Raw genomic sequence first — 23,577 nt, forward strand, 5'->3', positions numbered from 1 at the left:
CGCCCCACCGTGTCCTCCGTGGCTGCCTCCACCTGCCCCTGCAGCTTTCAAATATGTCTGTCATTGCTTTCAAATTCTCACTTATCTTCCCTTCTTTTTTTAAATTAAAAAAAAATGTTTCAGAGGCAGGGTCTTGCTGTGTTGCCAGGCTGGAGTGCAGTGGGACCATCGTGGCTCACTGCAGCCTTAAACTCTGGGGCTCAAGTGATCCCCCTCCTCAGCATCACAAGTAGCTGGGACCACAGGCGTGCACCATCATGCCTATTTCATTCGTTTAAATTGCCTTGAACAGAATTACATTAATAAGGGCTCTGATCTCATAAATAACCCAAGATTCCTTGGTGTTGAGGCTGGAATCACAGAGCCACCTCCTAGAAAGGCCCATCGAAGCCTTGGGGGAGCCTCAGAACTGCAGGCTTAGGGCGGCTGATGGTTCTTTTCCTCCTGTCTGTGCCAGGGTAGCAAACTGCATATCACAGCAGATTACTTGGAAGATAACTAAATGAGATATAGGGATGAACTCCTTGGGATGCTGGGATATCAGTGTTGGATTTCATAATATGCAACCACTTTTATGGTGAGGGATTTGGAAGCCAACTGCTGTCGGAATTACTGAAGGTGCCAACATGAGGCCAATATACGCAATATAGGCAAAACCTATTTATAGTAATGTCCCAAACACCATCCAAATTCTTTTGCAGTATAATACTAAACTGTTGCTGATTAAATCTTACTGAAGTCTGTAGACCATAAGCTGGGTTTGAATTTTTTTAAAAAGTAAATTTTCTCTGTAGCAATACATTTAATGGAATCTGATCTATATTACTTCTGCCAAGAAGGAATTCAGAATTACCAATTGGAGTTAATGTGGTACAAAGAACTAGAAACCTCTCATTCTCAGGAAATGGACAGGGCAGGGGGAGTCCTTAATGAAAACACTGTGTCAGTAATTTTTGTGGCTTAAGATCACCACGTGTAGTTCCATGGGTTCAGAATAGATTCTCAGAGATGGGGGTTATAGTAGAAAGAGCAAAGGATTAAGCATCAGGAACCAGATTTACCCCTAGTCCCGTAACCCTGGGTAATTTACCTGCCTTCTTTGTGTTCCCATTTCCTCACCTATAGGAATGGAGGGATTGCGCAGGGTGCAGTGGCTCGTGCCTGTAACCCCAGCACTGCTGGGGGACCAAGGTGGGAAGATTGCTTGAGGCCAGAAGTTCAAGGCTGCAGTGAGTTATGATAGTGCCCCTGCACTCCAGCCTGGGTGACAGGGCAACACCTTGTTTAAAAACATAAAAATAGGCCAGGCACGGTGGCTCATGCCTGTAATCCCAGCACTTTGGGAGGCCAAGGTGGGTGGATCACCTGAGGTCAGGAGTTGGAGACCAGCTTGGCCAACAGGGCGAAACCCTGTCTCTACTAAAAATACAAAAATTAGCCGGATGGGGTGGCGTGTGCCTATAATCCCAGCTACACAGGATGCTGAGGCACGAGAATCACTTGAACCCAGAAGGTGGAGGTTGCAGTGAGCGGGGATTGTGCCACTGCACTCCAGGCTGGGTGACAAGAGTCAAATTCCGTCTCAAAAATAAATAAATAAATAATACAAATAAAAACAAACAAAAAACAATAAAAATTGAGGAATTGGGCTAGATAAGTGGTTTTCGAGACAGAACTTTGAGACAGTTCTTACTTAGGGGCCAGTGGAGATCTCCTCTCCTACCCAATTTTCAACTACATAAATGTTATTTGTTTTGCTTCAACATATGATTTTAGTGGAAAAATAGAGTTCTCCTTCTTTAAAAACATTTTTTTTAAAAAACCACTGGACTAGCTAATTCCTACTCCTAAACCTTTGTAATTCAATATAAGGTCTACCCATCAAATTGTTTAGACTCCTGGATGATACTCATGTTTTTAGGAAGGGTTCCTACACCCAAAGCCCAGGTCAGCCAGTTTCTGCGTGTAGGCAAGTTACTGCGTTAGGACTCTTGTACTAGTGTACAATCTAGAAGTTGCATTGGGGCAGCAGGGAGAGAATTCTTATCAGTGAGTGTTTAGCCTCGTTGTACACAGCAGTTACCAGAACAATTAAGAGAGACAAAAGTTCTCCAACACCTTGATCATCTCTGGTAGACAGCTTTGGAAGACACACATACCGTCTACTTCTTCGGACTTCCTAAGCTGTGGAATAGGGATTCAGTGTCTGTGGTATGAAACGGGGTCTGAGAGTTTCATCCCATCAAACTGACAGGGTAATTTTGAGATGGGGCAACAGGAATTGTAATACTGGGGCAATATTTGCTTGTCATCAGTTTGACATCTTCTTGACATGTGCTCTTTTTGACCCCAGTGATTCTTCATTGATCCCCATGTAAGGTGTCCCATTCCCCCATCCACACTGACTCACCACCAGGAATTGTTGTGTGTTCTGAAGAGGCTCAACCAGTTTCATTTGCCTTCTGTTCAGCTTCCCTCCATCTCTTATCCCCAGTCCTCTGTAAATCCTTACTCCTTCATTAAGTATTCCCTGATTCATGGAAGTGACATGATCCGGTTTAGTTTACAAAACCAGGAAATTATTCCTCTGGACCAGAGAGAGAGAGAGAGAACAAGAAACAACAACAAAAAACCCAAATGGAATCTATAAAGGGAAGACAGATATATTCTACATTGTTCCCATTAAAATGGAAACCCCGTGGGGAGAGGAAATGCATCTGTGGAATGTAGAGTGGATTTCTTTCACATATGGGCACTCAGTAAACATTATTAATGAATGATAATGATTTGTCAGTGATTGAAATTGTTTCAGGGCAGGAACAGGGAATGAAATACGTAGACATTCCTCTATCTCATGGGGAAACTGCTAGGCAGGTCATCCAGATGTATTTTCTTTGGGGAGTTGTGAATTCCTTGTGTGTCCAGCTATCACTATGTAATGATATTTTACGTTCTCAGTAATACATATCATCATTATATATATCATCATCTTATATGTATATATATAATACCCCTGTACATAGATATATGTACACATGTATATATTTATATGTATAAAATTAAAGTGTGGAACTTGTAGTTTCCTGTCGAAGAAGCTTGCAAATTGCAATTCCATCCTAGCAAGTAAAAAGCTGAACAGACTGAAAAAGCAAGTCTCCTTGGATCCATAAAGGAAGCGAGGTCTCAGAGCAAACCACTGTCCCCAGAACTGGAGAAACCGGCAGGAGAATGCAGCTTCACAAGGTACCGGAGCAGAAGCCCTGGGCAGCAGCCTCTGCCCGAGCAGTGACAGGCAGGGAAACCTGAGCTGTCATCACCAGAGTGCCGGAGGCGCAGAGCGGGCAAGTCTGGAAGTTAAAGATCCACGGGAACCATGTCGTTGTCCCCTCTCCCTCACCTTCTGGAGCTTCCCCGAGTTCTCACAGTGAATAATGGAGAAAAATCCCCTCGTGCCTCCTGCAGTGGGAAGAAGAAAAAGGACCATTTTGAAAGAGACTGCCGCACTCTGCTCTTCCTAACGAGGTCGCCTCCCCTAACCCCACCGCGGCTTTATCAGCGCCTAACTGACCTGGGGGAAGGGAAACTCCCACGCCAGCCCACTCTAGCCATCTCCCGGCTCACTTAAGGTGGGGGCGGGAGGGAGGACGGAGACTCATTTGTGAATGTTCAGCTGAGGGGTGCAAGCTCACCAAAACTCTGAGGCCTGATTGTAGACTATAGAGTAGACCTTCCCACCGCACACTCACGGCCTCTTTACAGCAGCTGCCTTTACCCGGTCACAGCCACTATCAAGAAAAAGATATAAGACATACTAAAGGGCAAATAGGGCCTGGCACGGTGGCTGACGCCTGTAATCCCAGCACTTTGGGAGGTCGAAGCGGGCGGATCACCTGAGGTCAGGAGTTCGAGACCAGCCTGGCCAATATGGCAAAACCCCATCTCTACTAAAAATAAAAATTAAAAAAAAGGAAAAGAAAGAAAAGAAAAATTAGCTGGGCGTGGTGGCAAGCACCTGTAATCCCAGCTGCTCAGGAGGCTGAGGCAAGAGAACCGCTTGAACCGGGAGGCAGAGGTTGCAGTGAGCCAAGATCGCGCCACTGTACTGCAGCCTGGGCGACAGAGTGGTACTCTGTCTCAAAAATAATAATAATAATAAAATGAAATAAGAATCAAATAACACATGTTGAAGGGACAGAGCAAGCTTCACAACCAGACTCAGAGACAGCAGGGATGCTGGAATTACCAGGCGGGAAATTGAAAGCAGCTCTGATTAATGTGAGGGGCTGTAATGGATAAAGTAGGCAGCATGCAGGAACAGGTGCGCAATGAAAGCAGGGAGATGGGAATCTAAGAAAAAACCAAATGAAGTGACAGAGAGCAAAGCACGGTGACGGAAATGAAGAATGCCGCTGATGGGCTTTGATGGATTTGTGGACTGGACACAGCTGAGGAGAGGATCTCTGAGCATAAGGTTATCTCAATAGAAACCTCCACATGTGAAAAGGGAAAAGAAAACCCACCCACACGCACACGCGCGCACACACGTGCGCACACACACAGAACAGAATATCCAAGAACTGTGGGACATCTACAAAAGGTGTAGCATGTGTAATGGGAATACCAGGAGGAGGAGAAAGAAGAAATACTTGAAATGGTAATGACAGATTTCTCCAAATTAATGTCAGACACTAAACCACAGATCCAGGAATCTCAGAGAATCAGGACAAATGCCAGAAAAACTACACCTGGGCATATCATTTTCAAACTGCAGAAAATCAAAGATAAAGAAAAAGTCCTGGAAGGGGCCAGAGTGAAAAAAACACATTACCTGTAGAGGAGCAAAGGGAAGAAATGCACCTGACTTATCCTCAGAAACCAGGTGAGCAAGGAGAGAGTGGAGTGAGATGTGAGGGTGGAGAGAGAAAACCCACCAGCCTAGAACTCTGAACCCTGCACAATTATCCTTTAAAAGTAAAGGAGAATAAAGACTTTTTCAGACAAACAAAACTTCAGGGAATTTGTTGCCAGTAGATCTGCCTTGCAAGAAATGTTACAAGAAATTCTTTAGAGAGAAAGAAAATGCTATAGGTCAGAAACTTAGATCTACATAAAGAGGGCAGAGAAGGAATAAGTGAAAGCAAAATAATAACTTATTTTTCTTATTCTTAATCTAACAGATAACTGTTCAAAGTAATAACAACAATGTATTCAATTATGTACCCTTAGATATATACTTATGTGTAAGGGAAATGAGTGACAACAATATTACAAGGGATGAGGGGAGGAATTAGGATTATGGTGTTGTTATAAGAAACTCATACTACCTGTGAAACCCCCCTCTACTAAAAATACAAAAATTAGCCTGGCGTGGTGGCGGGCGCCTGTAATCCCAGCTACTCGCGAGGCTGAGGCAAGAGAATCACTTGAACCCAGGAGGTGGAGGTTGCAGTGAGCCGAGATCACGCCATTGCCCTCCAGCCTGGGTGACAGAGACTCCATCTCAAAAAACAAAAAAAGATTGTCATAGTGGGTCAAAAAATAAGACCCAGCTCTGTGTTGTCTACAAAAAACCCACTTCAGATATAAATTGTGCTTCTGTCAGGTCACTTTAGGCTGACCAGCAAAAGGCACAGTCCTGAGACATGGAGAATAACCCAGAATAATTATCTTTAATAATATAAGCATAATTATAATCTCACAAGTATTTTCATAGGATTGAGATATAAAGAATATATTGAAGCTTTTACAGAACAAAAAGGAAAAGCTGGTGCACCTTTATCTCTGTACATGCAAATTTATATAATCAATGCTTGTTTTGCTTCTCTTTTTTCTCCTTTTCATTTTCCTTTCCAGGTTGAGGAAAGGTAGTGGTTGTTTGTGAAGTGGTCATTTATTTTATCCACTTAATTTCTGATGTTTTCTAATTCTCTCTCTCTCTCTCCCTCTCCTTCCCATTCCCTCTCCTTTTCACCAGGCTTCTCCTCTTCCTTCTTCCCTCTTCAACCCCACGCTCTCATATGCTAAATAAGAAACCACTTCGTTCTTTTTTTTTTTTTTTTTGTCTGAGACGGAGTCTCGCTCTGTCACCCAGGCTAGAGTGCAGTGCCGCAATCTCGGCTCACTGCAAGCTCCGCTTCCCGGGTTCACGCCATTCTCCTGCCTCAGCCTCCTGAGTAGCTGGGATTACAGGCGCCCGCCACCACGCCCGGCTAATTTTTTGTGTTTTTAGTAGAGATGGGGTTTCACCGTGTTAGCCAGGATGGTCTCGATCTCCTGAACTTGTGATCCGCCCGCCTCGGCCTCCCAGAGTGCTGGGATTACAGGCGTGAGCCACCGCTCCCGGCACCACTTGGTTCTTTATGGCTGTTGAGCATAGCTCATCCTCGAAGTTTGTTTAATGCTCATTTTATGCTGTCCCACAGAAAAGACTATTGCCAAAGAGCAGAGCCACTTTTGTTGAAGGCTGTGCCACTCACCCAGAGTCCCCTGTGCAAAGGAAGGGAGGCTCACACAGAGCCAAGGGAGGGCAGGGCGCACCACATGCCCACTGCAGAGCCAGCATCCCCCTCGAGAGCTGCACTTCTGCCCTCAGGCCCACTGAGCTCCTTCTGCAAGGAAGCTTTTCAGACAAGAAGGAGGCTTTTATGAGGTTCAGATTCTTCCTAAGAGAACGTTTTGCTGTTGTTGCATGGAAGAGGGGTTTTTCCCCTCTGGTCGAAACTCCGCCCAGCTTTGTCTAGTGCGGTGTCCTGTCCACACTAGACCTGTTGTCCTAGTTTGTGTTCCTCCAGAAGCCCACCCTGAAGCAGTGACTCAAAGGCCAGTAGATTACTTGTGACATGAGGAGCTACTGATCAGAGAGTGGGAAAGTGAGACAAGGAAGGGAAGACAGCCAATCAAGAGTGGGTTATCACACCGGTGATGGACGTGGCCACTGGGGCCAAACCTGCTGGGGAAGTCAGCCGGGGTACAACATGTGTCCTTATACAACGGCTCCTGCCTGTCCCTGGTTGAGGGCTGTCACAGGGAGCACTCATCTCTGGCATCTCCTTCCTACCGGGGTGGGCAAGAGGGCTCCGCAAAAAAAGTGCAGGAGCTGGTGGTCAGAAGGTGGGGTCTCGTGCCTGAAGGGTGAAGGTGGGAAATGTGGGTGGGCATGGCTGTGTGCTCTGCCTGGAATACCTGCCTGCTGAGCTGACGCTGATTTCACGCCGTGGGGTTCCCTGTAGGCTCTCCTGGGTCTGATGGTGAGTAGAATGTCTAGCATTTTGTCTGGTTTTGCAAGTGAAAAAAGTGAGGCAGGGGAAGGGCAGTCAAGTTAAGGACTAAGTGAGCAAAGCAGAACGGAACCCAAGTGTCTCGATCACTTTTGCCCATCTTAGTCAGAACATACACTGAATAGTCAATGAATGAATCTTTGATGACGTGACCATCGAGACCAAGCGGTAGTAATTCTCCTCGGCCTCTCTTGATCTTTTTCCCTTTGGTGGTCCTCCCAGGTGGTGTGGTCATGATGGGAGGAGCAGTGATGGTGTAGACCAAGCTGCCTAGTGTCGCCATGTAATGCAGCTCCATCTACCCTTGTCTGCTGCTCCTCCAGATGAGCGGTTGCTGCAGGACAGTGGTAGGTTAAATAGGCCATTATTGTCCATAGTCCTTTCTCTGTGTGGCATGTGTTTATCACTAATAATCGGTCATTGCTATGACTGCCTGATTGCATGGTCCTTCAGCCACTATTTTAGAATCTTGTATATATCTTATACTTTATACATATACTCATGTATCAAAAGCATGCTATTGCATGGCAGTAGGTGTAAAACAGTTTCTTTTTTCTGGTGGGGTTTTTTTTGTTTGTTTGTTTTGTTTTTTTGAGACAGAGTTTTTGCTCTTGTTGGCCAGGCTGGAGTGCAATGGCATGATCTCAGCTCACTGCAACCTCTGCCTCCCAGGTTCAAGCGATTCTCCTGCCTCAGCCTCTCGAGTGGCTGGGATTACAGGCATGCGCCACCACACCCGGCTAATTTTGTATTTTTAGTAGAGACGGGGTTTCTCCATGTTGGTCAGGCTGGTCTCGAACTCCTGACCTCAGGTGATCCGCCTGCCTCAGCCTCCCAAAGTGCTGGGATTACAGGAGTGAGCCACCGCGCCCAGCCAGTGTAAAACACTACTTTCTTAGTTAGCAGAGCTTAAGCAACACAGCTCATCAGTTTCATAAACAGAGATAGTGCTTTTGAAAAAGAGACTTGAAATATCCAAATCATACATGTTTTTTATTTGACTTTAAAATGATTACCTTGGGACGGGGACACAGCAGTTATCAAAGAGCGACTTTTTAACAGATGCTGGGGTTTTCCTAGATTTCTCACCAGCAAGGTTACTGCAAGATTGTCCCTATCCCATTTGAAGTCACTACTAATAGCTCAGTCTGTCTTCCTCAAGTAAGAATCAGCTAAGCCTAATGTACTGAGTGTATCAACTCCAGATCTTCCCATCTCCTTGTTCCTCAAATATTGATTGAACACCTACTCTATACCCAGCACTTTCCTGGGTGCAGGGAGTACCAGAATGAAGACAGTTCTGTGCTCTAGTCCCTGGAGACCTCACCACCCATAGCCTGTTATTTCTATGAAGTGTTAAGTTCCTTAACTACAAATTCCCACCAAGGGAATTAGGAGGCTTCACCACCAAGGATGGGGAGGGATGACTGAAACTATGAGAAACAAGAGAAGTGGCAGTCACGTTTACGTGGGGGAGTCAGGAAAGGCTTTGGGGGCAGTGAAAAAAAAAGTAGGATTTACATGCAGATAGGCAAGGATAGAGCATTTTAGGTGACAGTATGACAATCCATGCAAGCTAGTGTTGACAGAGGGAACTTTTTAAATAACTTTATGAGGTATAATTTATGTACAACAAACTGCACTCAAAGTGCACGATACGGTGTGTTTTGACAGATGCATAACCCCATGAAACCAGCACCACAGTCACAATACAGGACACTTCTTGGCTCCCAAGAGTTTCCTACTGTACGTTTGCAACTGGATGCAGGGTATGTTTTAGTGCAGATAATGTGCCCCTTTCAACACAAGAACATTTTGATTTGGCTTTTTTTGTTACCAAGTAAGATGCACCAGGCACCCTGATCTTTAGGTCTGAGTCCATATGCTAGTAGACCCAGGTCCAGGGGGCCCGCCCCATTCCCAGAGAGGCCGTGGTCTATCATTGGAGAAATCGTGACTGCAGAGGTTCAGTCCTGACGCACATACAGGTCGGGGAAGCGGGGGGGCAGTGGAGAGGAAGGCAGGGCCAGGTTATCGAGGATCCCGGACAGCGTGCAGCAGAATTTAGATTTTAACCTATTGGCAAGAAGGAGCCCACTGGAGATTGTGACCGGGAAGTGATAGAATCAGATTTGTACATTAGAAAAATCACTCCTGGGACCTGGGTCAAAATGGTCAAAATGAGAAGTGATGAGGACTGACTTAGGGCAGTGGCGGTGGAGGGGGGATGGAGAGGAAATAATGCGGTCAGAATCCAGAAGGCGGAATCAACAGAGCTGGGACAATCCTTTGGGCACAGGATGTAATAAGAGAGAGAAGAGTTATTCATAACTTCCAGGCTGATTGTGTGGTCAGCCAGGCAGTGCCTTTTATGGAGGCCGTAAATCTGGGTAGGTAGAGTGATTTAGGAGGAAATATGTTTAATTTTGGGCTCCTATGTCTGTGGGATACACTAGTAAGAGATGTCTAATAGTTGGGTCTGTGGGTCCAGGGGTCTGGGCTGAATATTTGAGGGTCTTTAGCATTTGAGTGACACTTCACCTAAGAAAACTGACTCAGAGCCTTCCAGAGTGCAAGGCGCTGTGCTAGAAATGCAAAGGTAAATGCCAGTACTGTCTGGGAGGCATTCTCTGACCCCTAGACCAGGTCAGGGCCTCCTGATTTGGGTTACGTTAGTATCTGGTGTTACATTTTTTGTCTGTCTTCTCCACAATACTGTAAGCTTTGTTAGGCTGGAACTAAGGTCTGTTCTTTGCTGTATCCTCAGCCCCTATCACAGGACAGGGTGCCTCGTAGAAGCTCAGCACATACGTTCAACCTTGTCAGCTGAATGCCACCCCAGCCACGCACGACTAGGGGGTCCTTCTAGGGACAGCAGTGATGTAAAGAGGATGTAACATTGCGGGGCCAGAAGTGCCGATACCGGAGGCTCAGGCAGCTGAGGGGCACAGAGATAGCAATGGGAGGCTGCACAGTGTTCATTCAAGCCAGGACTTAAAGGGTGAGGAAGAGTTCTCCAGTCAAACAGAGAGGGAAGAACATTCTATGTCCATGGGTACAACATACATAAGTGCACAGAAGAGTGAAATGAGGCCGGGCCTGGTGGCTCACACCTGTAATCCCAACACTTTGGGAGGCCAAGGCGGGCGGATCACCTGAGGTCAAGAGTTTGAGACCAGCCTGACCAACATGGAGAAACCTTGTCTCTACTACAAATAACACAATTAGCTGGGCGTGGTGGCGCATGCCTGTAATCCCAGCTACTCAGGAAGCTGAGGCAGGAGAATCGCTTGAACCTGGGAGGTGGAGGTTTTGGTGAGCTGAGATCGCACCATTGCACTCCAGCCTGGGCAACAAGAGCGAAACTCCGTCTCAAAAAAAAGAAAAAAAAAAAAAAGAGTGAAATGGTTGTGTGTGACCAGAATAAGAGGCTGCGATTCAGGAGGATGAGAACTGGCAGGAGATGTAGCTTGGGGTGTAATTGGGACCACTGTAATGGGGTTAGGACTTTGTTCTTTATGAAACAGGAAGTGAGTGGAGACTTTGAAACAAGATAGTCATACGATCCTATGACATTTTTAGGATGAAATCTCTGGGGATAGAATACAGAGATGATGAAACCTGCCCCCTGAAAAATGCAGTTTTCGCCAGCGCCCCAGTGATTCTCCTGTGGGTCATCCAGAGAGCTTACCTGGAGGAACAGCCATGTGGGTGGAGGCTGGGGTGAGAGGAGGCTGGTGGCAGCGGTGTGGATGGAGGCTGGGGTGGGGGAGGCTGGCGGCAGTGGTGTGGGTGGAGCCTGGGGTGAGGGGAGGCTGGTGGCAGCCGTGTGGGTGGAGGCTGGGGTGAGGGGAGGCTGGCAGCAGCGGTGTGGATGGAGGCTGGGGTGGGGGAGGCTGGCAGCAGTGGAGGCACCTCGGGAGGCAGGGACAAGGATAGCAACTGAGTGCTGGTAAAGGCCACCCTGCTAAGTAGCCAGAAAGTTTGCAGAACCTTCTTTTGAGGGATCTGAAGTTCAAGTTCTCAAATGCTCCAGATCCTCAGTGTTCAAGAACCTCAGGAAGCTTCGCAGTCCTGCCTCGTGCCTGCTTGAACAGCTGGATGTGGGCAGGAGGCTGTGGGAGCGGGCCATGCCAGCAGAATCCCGCCTTACTCTGGGGACTTACTCTTGTCACAGCCCCTGGTGTCCTGAGGGTCATTTCAGTGTCATGTGAGTATTACTGTGGCTATTGGAAAGGATTTGGTACGAGTTTATTTGAGAAGTTAGGAGCTTTTTTTAAAAAAAAAAATTATCTTTGATAAATTTAGTAGAATATTTTGAAAGTACTTTTTGGACAGTAATGAATGAACAAATTGCTCCTGAACTAGAAGGAGGGATCTAAACACATCATCTAAGTACAACAGTATGTCTGAAAAATATCTCTGCTTGTCTTTTATTTGCCCTTTAAAGTCTGTGCAAACAAATGTGAACAGCCTCAGGACTCTAAGAATAATATTTTTCTATGGATGTGTATGGACAGATAAACAAAACCCCAAGGGAGAAAAAACTTCTATTTAAATAAAAATAAAGATCCCCTACAGCTCCATCCTCCTTTGCTCACTGGGTTTGCTGTATTTCATTTTGAGATAAAAGTAGTTTGGATGATTAACAGTTGAACAAAAAGAAAGTATTTGTGTCTGTCTAAATCTATCTCTATCAATGTAATCTATCTTATTTCTCTAATCTTATCTATCTGTCTTATCTATCGACCTAACTGTCCATCTGGTTTTGAATATTCCGTATTCCAGCCATAAGTAGTAGATCTTTTGCATCCCTGGGGTTAATGGTTCCTTGAGCAGACACTGACACTGTGCCGTTCGGGATCCCGTGGGGAAAACACCCTCTTCCTCACTGGTCAGTGATACCCTGTGCTCACAGCTCTACTCCCCCTCGGAATCTCCTGTCTGAAGCCCCTGTAGGACTCTGGGATCCTCCGAATCGGCCCTCTCCAGCTCCAAGCACACTGGGATCCTTGCCGCAGGAGGTTGCTGTTGGCTTCTGCCCATGCTGTGGGTCAGGATCTGCAGCCAACAGGCGTGGGAGCTTAGGAAGGCACCTGGTGGTTTCTCGGTAGGAAAATAGTGTGGAGTGTGTGCAATCATGTTTGAGGAAGCGTCATGAGAGGGTCACTGTCTCTGTGGTAGTGTCCTTAGGGAACCGTCTTTGCCTGGATCCTGGGGTCAGGTTTGGCATGAACTCTGAACTTCCTCCCTCCGCAGGATCTTCAGTAGAAAGGTCCTGTCCTGAGGAAATGCTCAGAGGCACTTCTCTTGCTGAGGAAGCCTGCCTGGATGTGTGTTTTTGTCCTCATGGAGATGCACATGACAAATTGTGTGCAATGCCTCAGCACAGCCCAACAGGTTTTTTCTGTTTACACTTAACTAGCCTACGACAGCGGGAGGAAACCTTAAATATTTCCTTTTCTTCCCACAAACGCTTTATCTAATAAAACAAAATTACTGCAGATGAAGCAGGGAGTGATTTAAATCGTCATTTAAATCAAGGACCTGATTTGGTTTGGCCTCCCTGGGGGACCTTTTAGCTTGTGCTATGCTGATAACGTCTCTACAGACTAAACCGACCAGAGCAGAAGGCAGGGTGGCAGTGCCCGTGGTGGGGTGGACAGCGTGGGGGCCGGCAGTGTCAGTCACTGAGTGCTGGGTTGGCCCCTCACTCCTCCATATTTCTGTACCAGTAAAATAGGTTGAAACTGACATCGAGGGCAGCTTCAAGAAGGTGGGGAGAGACCACGAGGGCAGTAATGCAGAGGCTGTCACCCTCTGGAGCTACTGCTCGGGGACTGAGAAGGAATTCAGTCTTGAATACATGTTAACCTCAGTTCCCGCTCCTTATCTGGACTGGCTGGCTCCCTTCTGCGCCAAGAATCTGAAGCCCAGCTCTGTAAAGCAGCAATTCCCAACTATTTTCCCCCTAAAATACACGAGACGCACTCCCATGGGGCCTATCTAGATTGCAGGCTGCGGCACAGATAAATCAGGCTGTGGGTTGGGCGCAGTTCCCAGTAAAACCCCACTTCTTTCTCTCCCACTCAAGAAAGCAGACCTCCATACGCGTAAGTGGGAGATGGTGCTCTGTCGCCCCAGCCCTTGGCGGGGGACTCGGCCTGTAAAAGCTGCCAAATAAATATTTACTAAGTGAAAGATAGCCCTGAATCCACACTAATTTGTATTTTTTTAAAGTCATTCATAAACTTTAGCATTTTAACTATTAGTTAGTAATTAATCCCAATAAACCGGCAGGATTTTGTGATTGTGAAACTGCTGCAATGCGTTGGTCAGCAGGAATATTTGTTAGCATTTTTATGGGCTCTTAAAGTCGTCTTAGCTGTGTTACTGATAAAGCCAGCCACAGGCTTTATCAGTCCTGCCGTTGGCTGTCAGCGCTGCCTGGATAAACTCCTCATCCTTCCCGGGAAGAAACTTCTAGCAATGCTTAAGCAGGAGGCCAGGGAAGAGAGAATCTTGATACTGCCTGCTCACCATAGGCCCTCTGGGGGCCTGCCCTGTGTGGACAGATGCTTCATTTCATGATCGTATACAAATCGAGAGCAAGAGTCTCCTAGCCGCGCTGAGCGTGGGGCACTTGCCACCTCACTGCTGTTGGAACTCTGGAGTTGGGGCCAAAGGATGTAGCCCCTCCTCGGGGGAGGGCAGTGGGGTCAGGTGAAGATTCAAGAGCTCCTCTTTGCCTTGTCATCTAGTTGTCCTATTCTGGAGGAATTTTAAATAAGGATTTAAAAAAAAAAAAGGACTTATGTATTATTTTAAAGAGCAGCCTTGAATAGGCAGGCATATTTTAGTAAAAATAATTTTTTAACCCTGCGGTGTGAAGACTGCCAGTCAAATACAGTGATGGTCATTATCACTCACCTGCCCCCGCCCCCAGGCTGGAGGAAACAGAGTGCAGAGTTAGAATGCTTCTGGAGCATTCATGGCTGCCGGGAGATGCCCGAGAGGACGTTGAGGGCAGGGCAGGGTGAGCAGGGAGCTAGCTCACCTTAGGAGTGCAGAGACCATCCCAAGCAGGGTCTGCAGACACTGACTTCAGGTGACCAGGCATGGAGATGGCAGGTGAAACAGGTAAGTATGCCCCAAAAATGATGGGAAAGAGTGAACTGGGATCACTTAGAAATCGGAAGCAATACAACAAAGGCTAAACATATTTGAGTAGGAGTTCAGGGTAGACACGCTCTTGGATATCAAGAGCATAAACAGAGGAGCTAACAAAAACACTGCAGAGAAGCTCCATCGCCCCCTGTAGTTACCCCACCTAGCGTGGCTGGGAGAAGCTGATACTTCTTTTCTCCGTGGATTCAGGGGCATTTCCCACCTATTTTAGGTATGCCAGTTTGACACAATGAACTTTAGACGTAACATTTCATAACTGCGATATAATTTCCTTCTGTTTTTAGGCCTTGAACAAAATTTTCTTTAATGGGAAAGCACACATTTTATACTGAATTCTAATTATGTTCATCTTGTTTTTTGAATTATTTAGCTACCTCTAATAGAGAGTCTGAAAGATGATTACATTCCACAGTACTAACATTTTCAATGGCCCTGAAAGACGTGAGATGCATTGCTGCTACTATTTTATCAAATTATTGTTTCTAAAATGCTGTTTTACTCTTCTAGTAGGAAGAGTGACTTTTAAAACAATGGATATTGGCTGGGCGTGGTGGCTCACACCTGTATTCCCAGCACTTTGGGAGGCCGAGGTGGGTGGATCACCTGAGATCAGGAATTTGAGACCAGTGTGGTCAACATGGTGAAACCCCATATCTACTAAAAATACAAAAATTAGCCAGGCATGATGACAGGCGCCTGTAATTCCAGCCACTTGGGAGGCTGAGGCAGGAGAATACTTGAACCTGAAGGCAGAGGTTGCAGTGAGCCGAGATCGCGCCACTGCACTCCAGCCTGGGTGACAGAGCAAGACGCCGTCTCTAAAATAAAATAAAACAATGGATAGTTTGTCCAACATGGTATGTTAAAAGCGCAGAGAAGCTGAAGAATGATGATGAAGACTAAAATAACGATGATAAGCAAAGAACTAAGCAGGCATCTGTGCAGTGATTCAGGAGGGGTGTCCATGAGGGGCGGCTTCGGAGCAGCTCTCCCTGTAACTTATCTCACAGTTCCCTCCTCCTTTAAGGAGTCAGACCACGGTGGGCTTTGCTTTAGAGACATGCCACTGTGTGCTTTGTTGCTCGTGACTATCCCTTCACCTTTCTAGAGGTGCTCGTCTTCATGTAAAGTCGGGTGAAGCTTTTTCACTCCTGGAGAAAAGCTCTTACAACATTTTTGGGACAAGGAGCAGGTGTGCCTCAGCGAGCCTGTCATTATCTGGGGAGGGGGCTCCAGATAACACACTTCTACTTGCTTTCTTTAGGGAAACGACATGGTCTCCTCCTGTAACACTCCCCAAAAGAAGTATGAAAGCCGACATAAAATACGAATATGATCTTTGCATTAAGTATTAAATATAATACCTTCAATGTAGTATTTGTGCTTCTCTCTATCCAGTTCTCAGTTGTTTAGGGATCTTCTGAGGGCAAACCAAAAATGTCAGTAAAGCAAAAATATATCAATAAGGCATCATACTGACGAAAACAAAACCAGAGGTTTTAAAAAATAATCTGGGCCGGGCACGGTGGCTCACGCCTGTAATCCCAGCACTTTGGGAGGCTGAGGTGGGTGGATCACCTGAGGTCAGGAGTTCAAGACCAGCTATGGTCAACATGGTGAAACCCCGTCTCTACTAAAACACAAAAATTAGCCGGGCATGATGGCGCACACCTGTAATCCCAGCTACTCGAGAGGCTGAGGTGGGAGAATCGCTTGAGGGGAGTGGGAGGTTGCAGTGAGCCGAGATCGCACCATTGCACTCCAGTCTCGGTGATAGGGTGAGACTCCATTTAAAAAAAAAAAAAAATGTAGTTATCAATTTTTTGTTTTTGACCAAAAGTATTTCAGGAACTTTGAAGAAAGGACCTGAAAATTATTACTCAGGCTGGTATTTAGTTTGCTGACTTTTAACTCTCAGAGCTGAACAGTCTAATCCTTGATCATTCCAGAGTGAGTTTAGGAATTTGTAGTCATTTCCTTTTTACTGGGTATTTGCATACATCACTAACCAGCTGGGATTAGAATGAGCAGTCTCTCGATGCTGAAATGGAATGATGAGAACTCAGGGCCAGCCTGAAATGTTCATCCTCATCGATTAATCCTTAATGAACACTCATGCATAGATGACATCAAAGAAGGTCCTTTGCAATGTACAGGGAAGACAAACCAGCTTCCATAGTGTACATTCTTAAAGGAAGGTTCCAATAGACCGATACACATAGTTAACATTTTGTATTTTTATCCATGTTTTGCCCCAAGATTAAACATTAGGAGTAACGTGGACATTTGCTCAGTGTCGAGGGAAGGGTCAGTGCATATAACTAGGAAGAAGGCTATCTGGCAGGGTTGGGAACGTGACCTCTTGCCCTCCAAAGCCTGGGATGCTGAAGTGAATGCCTCCAATCTTGCGGTGTATGGACACAGAGCGAACGCTGCCCTCTGAATACAGACCAGAGGTTAGAGGTTAATGAATGGGTGCTCTCTCCACACTCAGGATCCCGTTCAATAGCGGTTTTATAAATAAGGGCTTAAATGGGGTCAGAAAAGGACCTGCATATTGCTTCCAAACTCTCTACATCTTTTTGAAGCAATAGTGTTCACAGATGACATCCTTCCACCTGGGAAGACAGAGATGAAGCTCTTGTGCTTGGAGAACTGGACGGCTACTCCTGGCTCAGTGTGTCTAAAAACAGGACCAAATGGAAAACATAGTGGGGGGGGAGGTCCTTGCTGCCCCCTATTCTTCTCTAGTAATCCCTTAAAAAATAATTGCGGACCCAAACCTCTGGCCTCCAGCACATTTTCCACTTGATTAGAGGCCTTTGTGAGGTGGGGAAAGGGACCTGCAGACTTGTGTATTGTGCTGGGGCCTGAAATGTCCAGCTGGGATTTTTTCCCATCAAAAGGGGATTTTAGTAAAACCATTATCAGGGGCTTAGAGGAGAAAAGCTGTTGAGCTGCAAGTGAGGGGGCAGATTAGCATTAGCGGGCTTGCTTCTGGCCCCAGTGGAGGAGCGGGAAGGTGTTTGCAGCCACTTGCACACAAGTTCCTTAGTTTCTCTGCAAGTTCCTGGCAGGTGCAGAGGTAGGAATGAATACAGGAGTGGGAACTAACAGGCTTGAACAATGGCACAGGGAGGCTTTATCTCTGAAGTATCAAGCGGAAGGCAGCCCAAATCAGGAAGGACTGCAAGGTGTTGTTGATACCTGCTTCAGTGTGTAGACGGCCGTGGGACTGGCCTCATTGCTGTTATGTGTGGCCACGTCGCCTGGAATCCCCCACCCACAACACTCGACCCCTCTCGACAGTCTTCATAGACGGCGACAGGAAATTCAGAAACTGGGAAATGGCCATGCTGGAGTCCTTTAATGGGCGAATGGACACCTTTAGGGTGGGGGGTGGGTGTGCTGGTAGCAGCTAAAAGAGTACAGAGGAAGGTTAGGAAAGCAGCAGCAGTGGCTGTCAGCCTGCAAATCAGTGTCCGGGCTGTGTGGATTTGCAGACTGAGCCACGGGAACCTCCTGGGGAGAGGGTTTGGGGAAGGTCCCCTACAAGAGAAACGTGCATCATCTTGGGATTACTGGAGCCCTCAGCTATACCTTCCTCTGCAAAACGGAGCACAGAAACTGGAGTCACGTGGTTTGGATGGAGAATGTTGAAGCCAATAGAGTAATTGCTGCCTGAAGGGCCCATGTGAGGAATGTCGGAGCCGGCCTGTCCCGGAAATGCTTTTTCCTATGTGTCCTCTGTACACTGTTGCTCTAGCTTCCCGGCAGAAATGGGGTGTGGATGAAAACAACGTTGGTCCTGACGGCTGTGAGCACAGAACTAGAGTGACAGCCACATGCCTCCCGTAGGACATTTTCAGGCTTGCAGTGCTGCCACCTCAGAGGTCTCAGTCACACCAACATCCTCACGCCAGCCCAGTGGCCACATTCGCAAGAGATTTGTCTAGAGTCAAATTCAAAGGTTGTTTCTGTGGTTACAGAAAGAGGGCCTACCTTCTTGAAAATGAAGCCCAGGGCCGGGCCTGGTGACTCACGTGTGTAATCCCAGCACTTTGGGAGGCTGAGGCGGGTAGATCACCTGAGGTCAGGAGTTCAAGACCTGCCTGGCCAACATGGCAAAACCCTGTCTCTACTAAAAAATACAAAAATTAGCCAGGCATGGTGGCACGTGCCTGTAGTCCCAACTACTCAGGAGGCTGAGGCAGGAGCATTGCTTGAACCCGGGGAGCAGAAGTTGCAGTGAGCTGAGATTGCACCACTGCATTCCAGCCTGAGCAACAGAGTGACTCTGTCGAAAGAAAAGGAAGGAAGGAAGGAAGGAAGGAAGGAAAGGAAAGAAGGAAAAGAAAGAAAAGAAAGGAAGAAAAGGAAGAAAGAAAGAGAAAGAAGAAAGAAAAAGAGAAAGAAAGAAAGAAAAAGAAAAGAAAAGAAAGAGAAAGAAAACGGAGTCCAGGAAAGCTGTTCTTGGAGGCTATGAATCAAGGAGCAGCCCTCCCAGTTCTTCCGAGGAGCAGCTTTAGGAACTGCTGGTCCTCAGCGTTCACACATTCCCCTCACTCAGTTCTCATTCTGGCTCCTCAGCCAGCCCCGTTTTCTTCTTCTTGGCTTTGTGCAGGGTGATACGTGTTTGCTTTTCTTTCCTTTACAACCTGTATTCTCTGTTTGGGGTGCCTTCCCTGAATCTGTATTCTTTCAGTGTAGTCACTAAGAATGGCATATTTCAGCTATTACTTTCCAAAAGTTGCGCAGGGAGATGTTCTGCTTTCATAAGACCTTCACGGATGGTGCCAGGAATGAATGTAATTTGCCTTATGCACAGGCCCCAAGTCCCTGAAACTTTTCCTTTTTTATTTATTCTCTAACCAAAAATGACGTCTATATTACAGAGCTTATAAGCTGTGGCTCCTCTAGCCAATACAGCTTGGTAGAAGCATCTGCAGGGGATAACTGCCTCCACCTTTTTTCCCACTTCTACACCTGCCCTTCCCACTCACAGTTTGATTCCCCGAGGCCAGGCTGTTGAGTACCAGGAGGGCAAGACCCGAAGGCCTCTCCTGCCCTCAGCCTGTCTCTTCTTGTGCCATTCTACGGAATCTGGCTACATTGGCTCAGAAGTTATTTTTGTAAGTTCTGCTACCTTGTCCTAATGTCAGTTTTCTGTAGGAGGAATTTAGGTCACACAAGCAACTTTACTTCTTCGTCAGGGCTGTTATTATTTTCATCTTCATAGACTCTCTTATATTTTATGAAGATGTCTTCATCTGGGCAATAAAGATACTCCTTTTAATAAAAATTAAAAAAAATTAAAAAAAAGATACTCCTAAAATTTTAAAATGTTTTTTCCTGAAAGGCTCTCTAGAATTTGTCCTCACAGATACACTTCTGATTTTTCTTTTGTAATAAAAAAAACTAGCTCTTTTTCTTGCTGTTTAAATTGATACCTCCATGTATGACTAAAATTTTTCCCATTTTCTTCCTCCCAAACTCCCCAGATATGGCAATCTAAGAAGGATTTGTATGAAGTGCCCTTTAAGAAGAATTAGAAGTTTAAAGAGAAAAAAAAAAAAGCATTAGAAGTTAATGTTTGATTCTCTTAGCTCCAAAAGCAGAGAGCTGCAAAATAACACCTGGCTCTGGGGAGTAACCTCACTGATATTTTAAAATTCAATTTCATCTTTTCCAGGAAGTGAAATTCCTCATTTGTCAACTCTTACGCCTGGAGGAAATACTTTGCGGGTGCGGGTGAAAGAGAAAGGACCAGAGGGGATTTGTTAGATGGGAGGAGGTTGTGGTTCCCCTTGGGAAATAGCTTCCAACTCACAGACAATGCTGCCACCTACTGACAAGACCAAGACATGGGACGTGCAGACTTCGTGGATTTCTCCACTTTCTGTCTTCCACAGTGGAGGACATTTAGTTTTGCATTAACCATACTTTATTGTACTACCTTATATTGGACCCTAAAATCATGTTCATAAACTTGGGGTAAAGAAAAACACAAGGTCGGACTCCTAGTTTTAATAACTCCAGGACAGGTGTGGATATGATTCACAGCTGCTTCACAATGGGGAAGGTAAATTGTGTGTAAGAGGGTTTTTTGTTGTTTTTTTAAAGGGCTGGGGAGGCTGAAGCAACAGTCCAGAAGGAGACAATAACAGTTTTCCAGCCCTACCTTTCAATAATGTGTAGTGCTTGACTTTTACCTCTTAACCCACATATGCACATTTTTATTTCTAAAGAAAGCAGTTGTAGGCTCCTGCAATCTCAGCACTTTGGGAGGCCGAGATGGGAGGATCACTTGAGCCCAGGAGTTGGAGACCAGCCTAGGCAGCATAGCGAGACCCTGTCTCTACAAAAAAAAAATAATAATAGTAATAATGGGCATGGTGGCACATGCCTGTGGTCCCAGCTACTCGGGAGGCTGAGGTGGGAGGATTGCTTGAGCTCAGGAAGTCGAGGCTGCAGTGAGATATGATCACACCGCTGCACTTCAGCCTGGGTGACAGAGCGAGACCCCAACTCTAAAAATCAATAAAGCAGGGATGAAGCTGTTTGCTGCTAAATCCTGTGTCCTACGTTAATGAGTTTCTGCAGTTCCCCTTGTGATTCCATTGAAAATTAGACCCTTCTGTGTAGGGAAGAGAGAGGCCAGCTGCCTTCCTGGGGGTCATGCTGTTCTGATTGTTGACATCTGACCCTGAGCACAATGGCAGGGCATCTGTCTCAAGTGCACAGACATCAGCTAGGGCTGGAAGAGCCAATCCTCCATCTACTCCAGGCTCTGGAAACTTGAAGACCTTTTCTGCTTCGTACAACCGTCAGCTGTCAGCTGGATGAAGTTCAGGGGGCCACAGAACTTAACCATCCTGCTTTTACAGATTCCTGAAAACTGGCTAAATTCTGTGCATCTGAAGTAAATTAGGAAAGGTAGAAATTGTCACTTTCATCTTGTCATTTTCGTGTTGTTTGCTTAAGACACACGTACTGGCCATCTTGTCGTTGTTGTTGTTCACAGCAGTGGAGTTTTGGGCAATGAAGTTAAGGTTTAAATTACTGAAAGCAGAAATGCTTGTCTTCCATCTGAGAACATGAAGCATTTATTTGAGGGGCGTTTGCGGGCTTAACTGTTACAATTTCTCCCTTACTTTACTCATGTGTCCAATTTTAGCCTCAGTGATTGTTCTAGAGATTCTCAGAAATAGCAGGACTAATTTTTTTGGCTCCTCCCTGTTTAGTGACTACGTCTCAGAAAGCCTTGCCTTGGGCTAGAAAAAGGTAGCAGATGTGTGGCCGGGCGCGGTGGCTCACGCCTGTCATCCCAGCACTTTGGGAGGCCGAGGCAGGCGGATCACAAGGTCAGGAGATCGAGACCATCCTGACTAACATGGTGAAACCCCGTCTCTACTAAAAATACAAAAAATTAGCCGGGCGTGGTGGCAGGTGCCTGTGGTCCCCGCTACTCGGGAGGCTGAGCCAGGAGAATGGCGTGAACCCGGGAGGCAGAGCTTGCAGTGAGCCAAGATTGTGCCACTGTACTCCAGCCTGGGCGACAGAGCGAGACTCCGTCTCAAAAAAAAAAAAAAAATGTAGCAGACGTGTATGTAAATAATGCTAGTTTGAGGCCAAGATTTCCTAAGGAGAAATATTATGAACCTTGGTAGGAAATATTTCCTCATATCCTTTTTAGATGAGAAAAACAATGTTTTCCAAGCCATAGTAATTCCACATTAATATTTATGAAAAATTAATGTGGTCTCAACTGTTTTCCCACAGTCCAGTTCCAGTGTCTCAGATCCATGATGTAAGGAGTAATTGTTGACACCCCACTGTGTGGTAGGTCTGATCCTTCTGGAGTGTGGATTACGTAAATGGGGGAGTAATAAATATAAGAAGGTGCCTAGTATTAACAAATTAGACCCTTTTACTCTTTCTGGACAAGTGGGATTTGTAACTAAAACATCTGTGAAGTCAAGCCTTTTTGCCCTTGAATGAAGAGAAAATAGCTAGAGTTTTTGCAACTTGATTCTACTTTATAAAAGGATTGTGTGGCAGGTATTTATAGCATGTGAAATATGTGTGAGTTCCTAGCTTTGAAGCTCTCATGAGCATGTACTTCCAGCATTAGTATTCTGCATTACTATGTGCAACAAAGCAGTGTTTTGGAAACTGGCTCAAATCCTCTGAGAGCAACAGGCAACAGATTTGACAGTTAGCTACTTCAGTACCTTATAGACCATTTAACAACATGTACTAGTTTTTTGGTTTCCTGAATAACCCTATATAATGCTTGCAAACATGTCTAAGTTTGCATAAGGTAGTGCATATTAAATAGTAATAACTTTTAGCATTTGGGGTTTTTTTTTTTTTTTTACTCCTAATGAAAATAATATGCTTTGGTGTGGCACCTTTTAAGAAACTTTTTTTTAAGGCTGAGGTAGAAAGATCCCTTGAGCCCAGAAGTCCGAGATTGTAGTGAGCTCTGATCATGCCACTGCACTCCAGCCTGGGCAACAGAGCGAGACTCTGTCTCAAAAAAAAGACAAAAAATAATAATTTTTTTAAGAGATGGGGTTTTGCTGTGTCGCCCAGGCTGGTCTTGAACTCGTGTGTTCAAGTGATCCTCCCACCTCAGCCGAGTGAGTAGCTGGGACTACAGATGTGTGCCGTGCCTGGCTTGGTGCCACACATCTCTGAAGAGAGACAGGGTGGTGCTTTGCAGTGCCCCTGTGAGCCGCCTCCATGCTGGTCACCTTCTGCATTGGTCATTAAGTCTAGAGCAGCCCAGGTTCTGACACTAGGTTCTCCTCTAATTACCTAGGCAAAATCTTTTCCACTTTGTTAAGCATCTTTTCCCATTTATAAAATTAAATGTACCACATCTGCCAGATTTGGGAAAACAAAAATGTTGAGACAGAGAAACCGAACATTGTGTTATGACTGAGTTCTTCCACAGATCACACTCACATTCCTGACCTGGTCTCACTTGGGTTTCTCTGCTGCGCCACGGCTGCAGACCCAGTTCTCTTCTTTGTAATTGAGACTCATTTGTTTCCACTATCACAAATGCAAGTATCCTTGTAAGTTTTTTATAAGGATATAAAGC

General features: G+C 45.9%; 1 protein-coding gene across 5 annotated transcripts in view, besides 1 other annotated feature; it reads right to left on the reverse strand.

The window, feature by feature from the left end:
* Positions 1-2,638: 2,638 nt before the first annotated feature.
* Positions 2,639-23,577, reverse strand: part of FBXL14 (F-box and leucine rich repeat protein 14) — a 28,850-nt gene continuing 7,911 nt past the window's right edge. For 3 of the 5 annotated variants that reach the window (NM_001405292.1, NM_001405291.1, NM_152441.3), the window contains exon 2: positions 2,639-3,456. In NM_001405292.1, the coding sequence (NP_001392221.1) occupies positions 3,394-3,456 (63 nt within the window). In that variant the 3' untranslated portion in view covers positions 2,639-3,393. Of the gene's footprint in view, positions 3,457-3,689; positions 3,786-23,577 lie in introns of those variants that run through there. The other 2 variants (NR_175934.1, XM_047428391.1) reach the window with 2 other exon arrangements.
* Positions 18,315-18,364: an enhancer, noted in NCBI's record as "active region_5803". NCBI's record gives its function as "activates an Ori minimal core promoter by ATAC-STARR-seq in GM12878 lymphoblastoid cells {active_cell/tissue: GM12878}" and the evidence as "EXISTENCE:reporter gene assay evidence [ECO:0000049][PMID:35858748]".

Source organism: Homo sapiens, chromosome 12 (genome assembly GCF_000001405.40).
Source record: "Homo sapiens chromosome 12, GRCh38.p14 Primary Assembly".
In the NCBI taxonomy this organism is placed as follows: domain Eukaryota; kingdom Metazoa; phylum Chordata; class Mammalia; order Primates; family Hominidae; genus Homo; species Homo sapiens.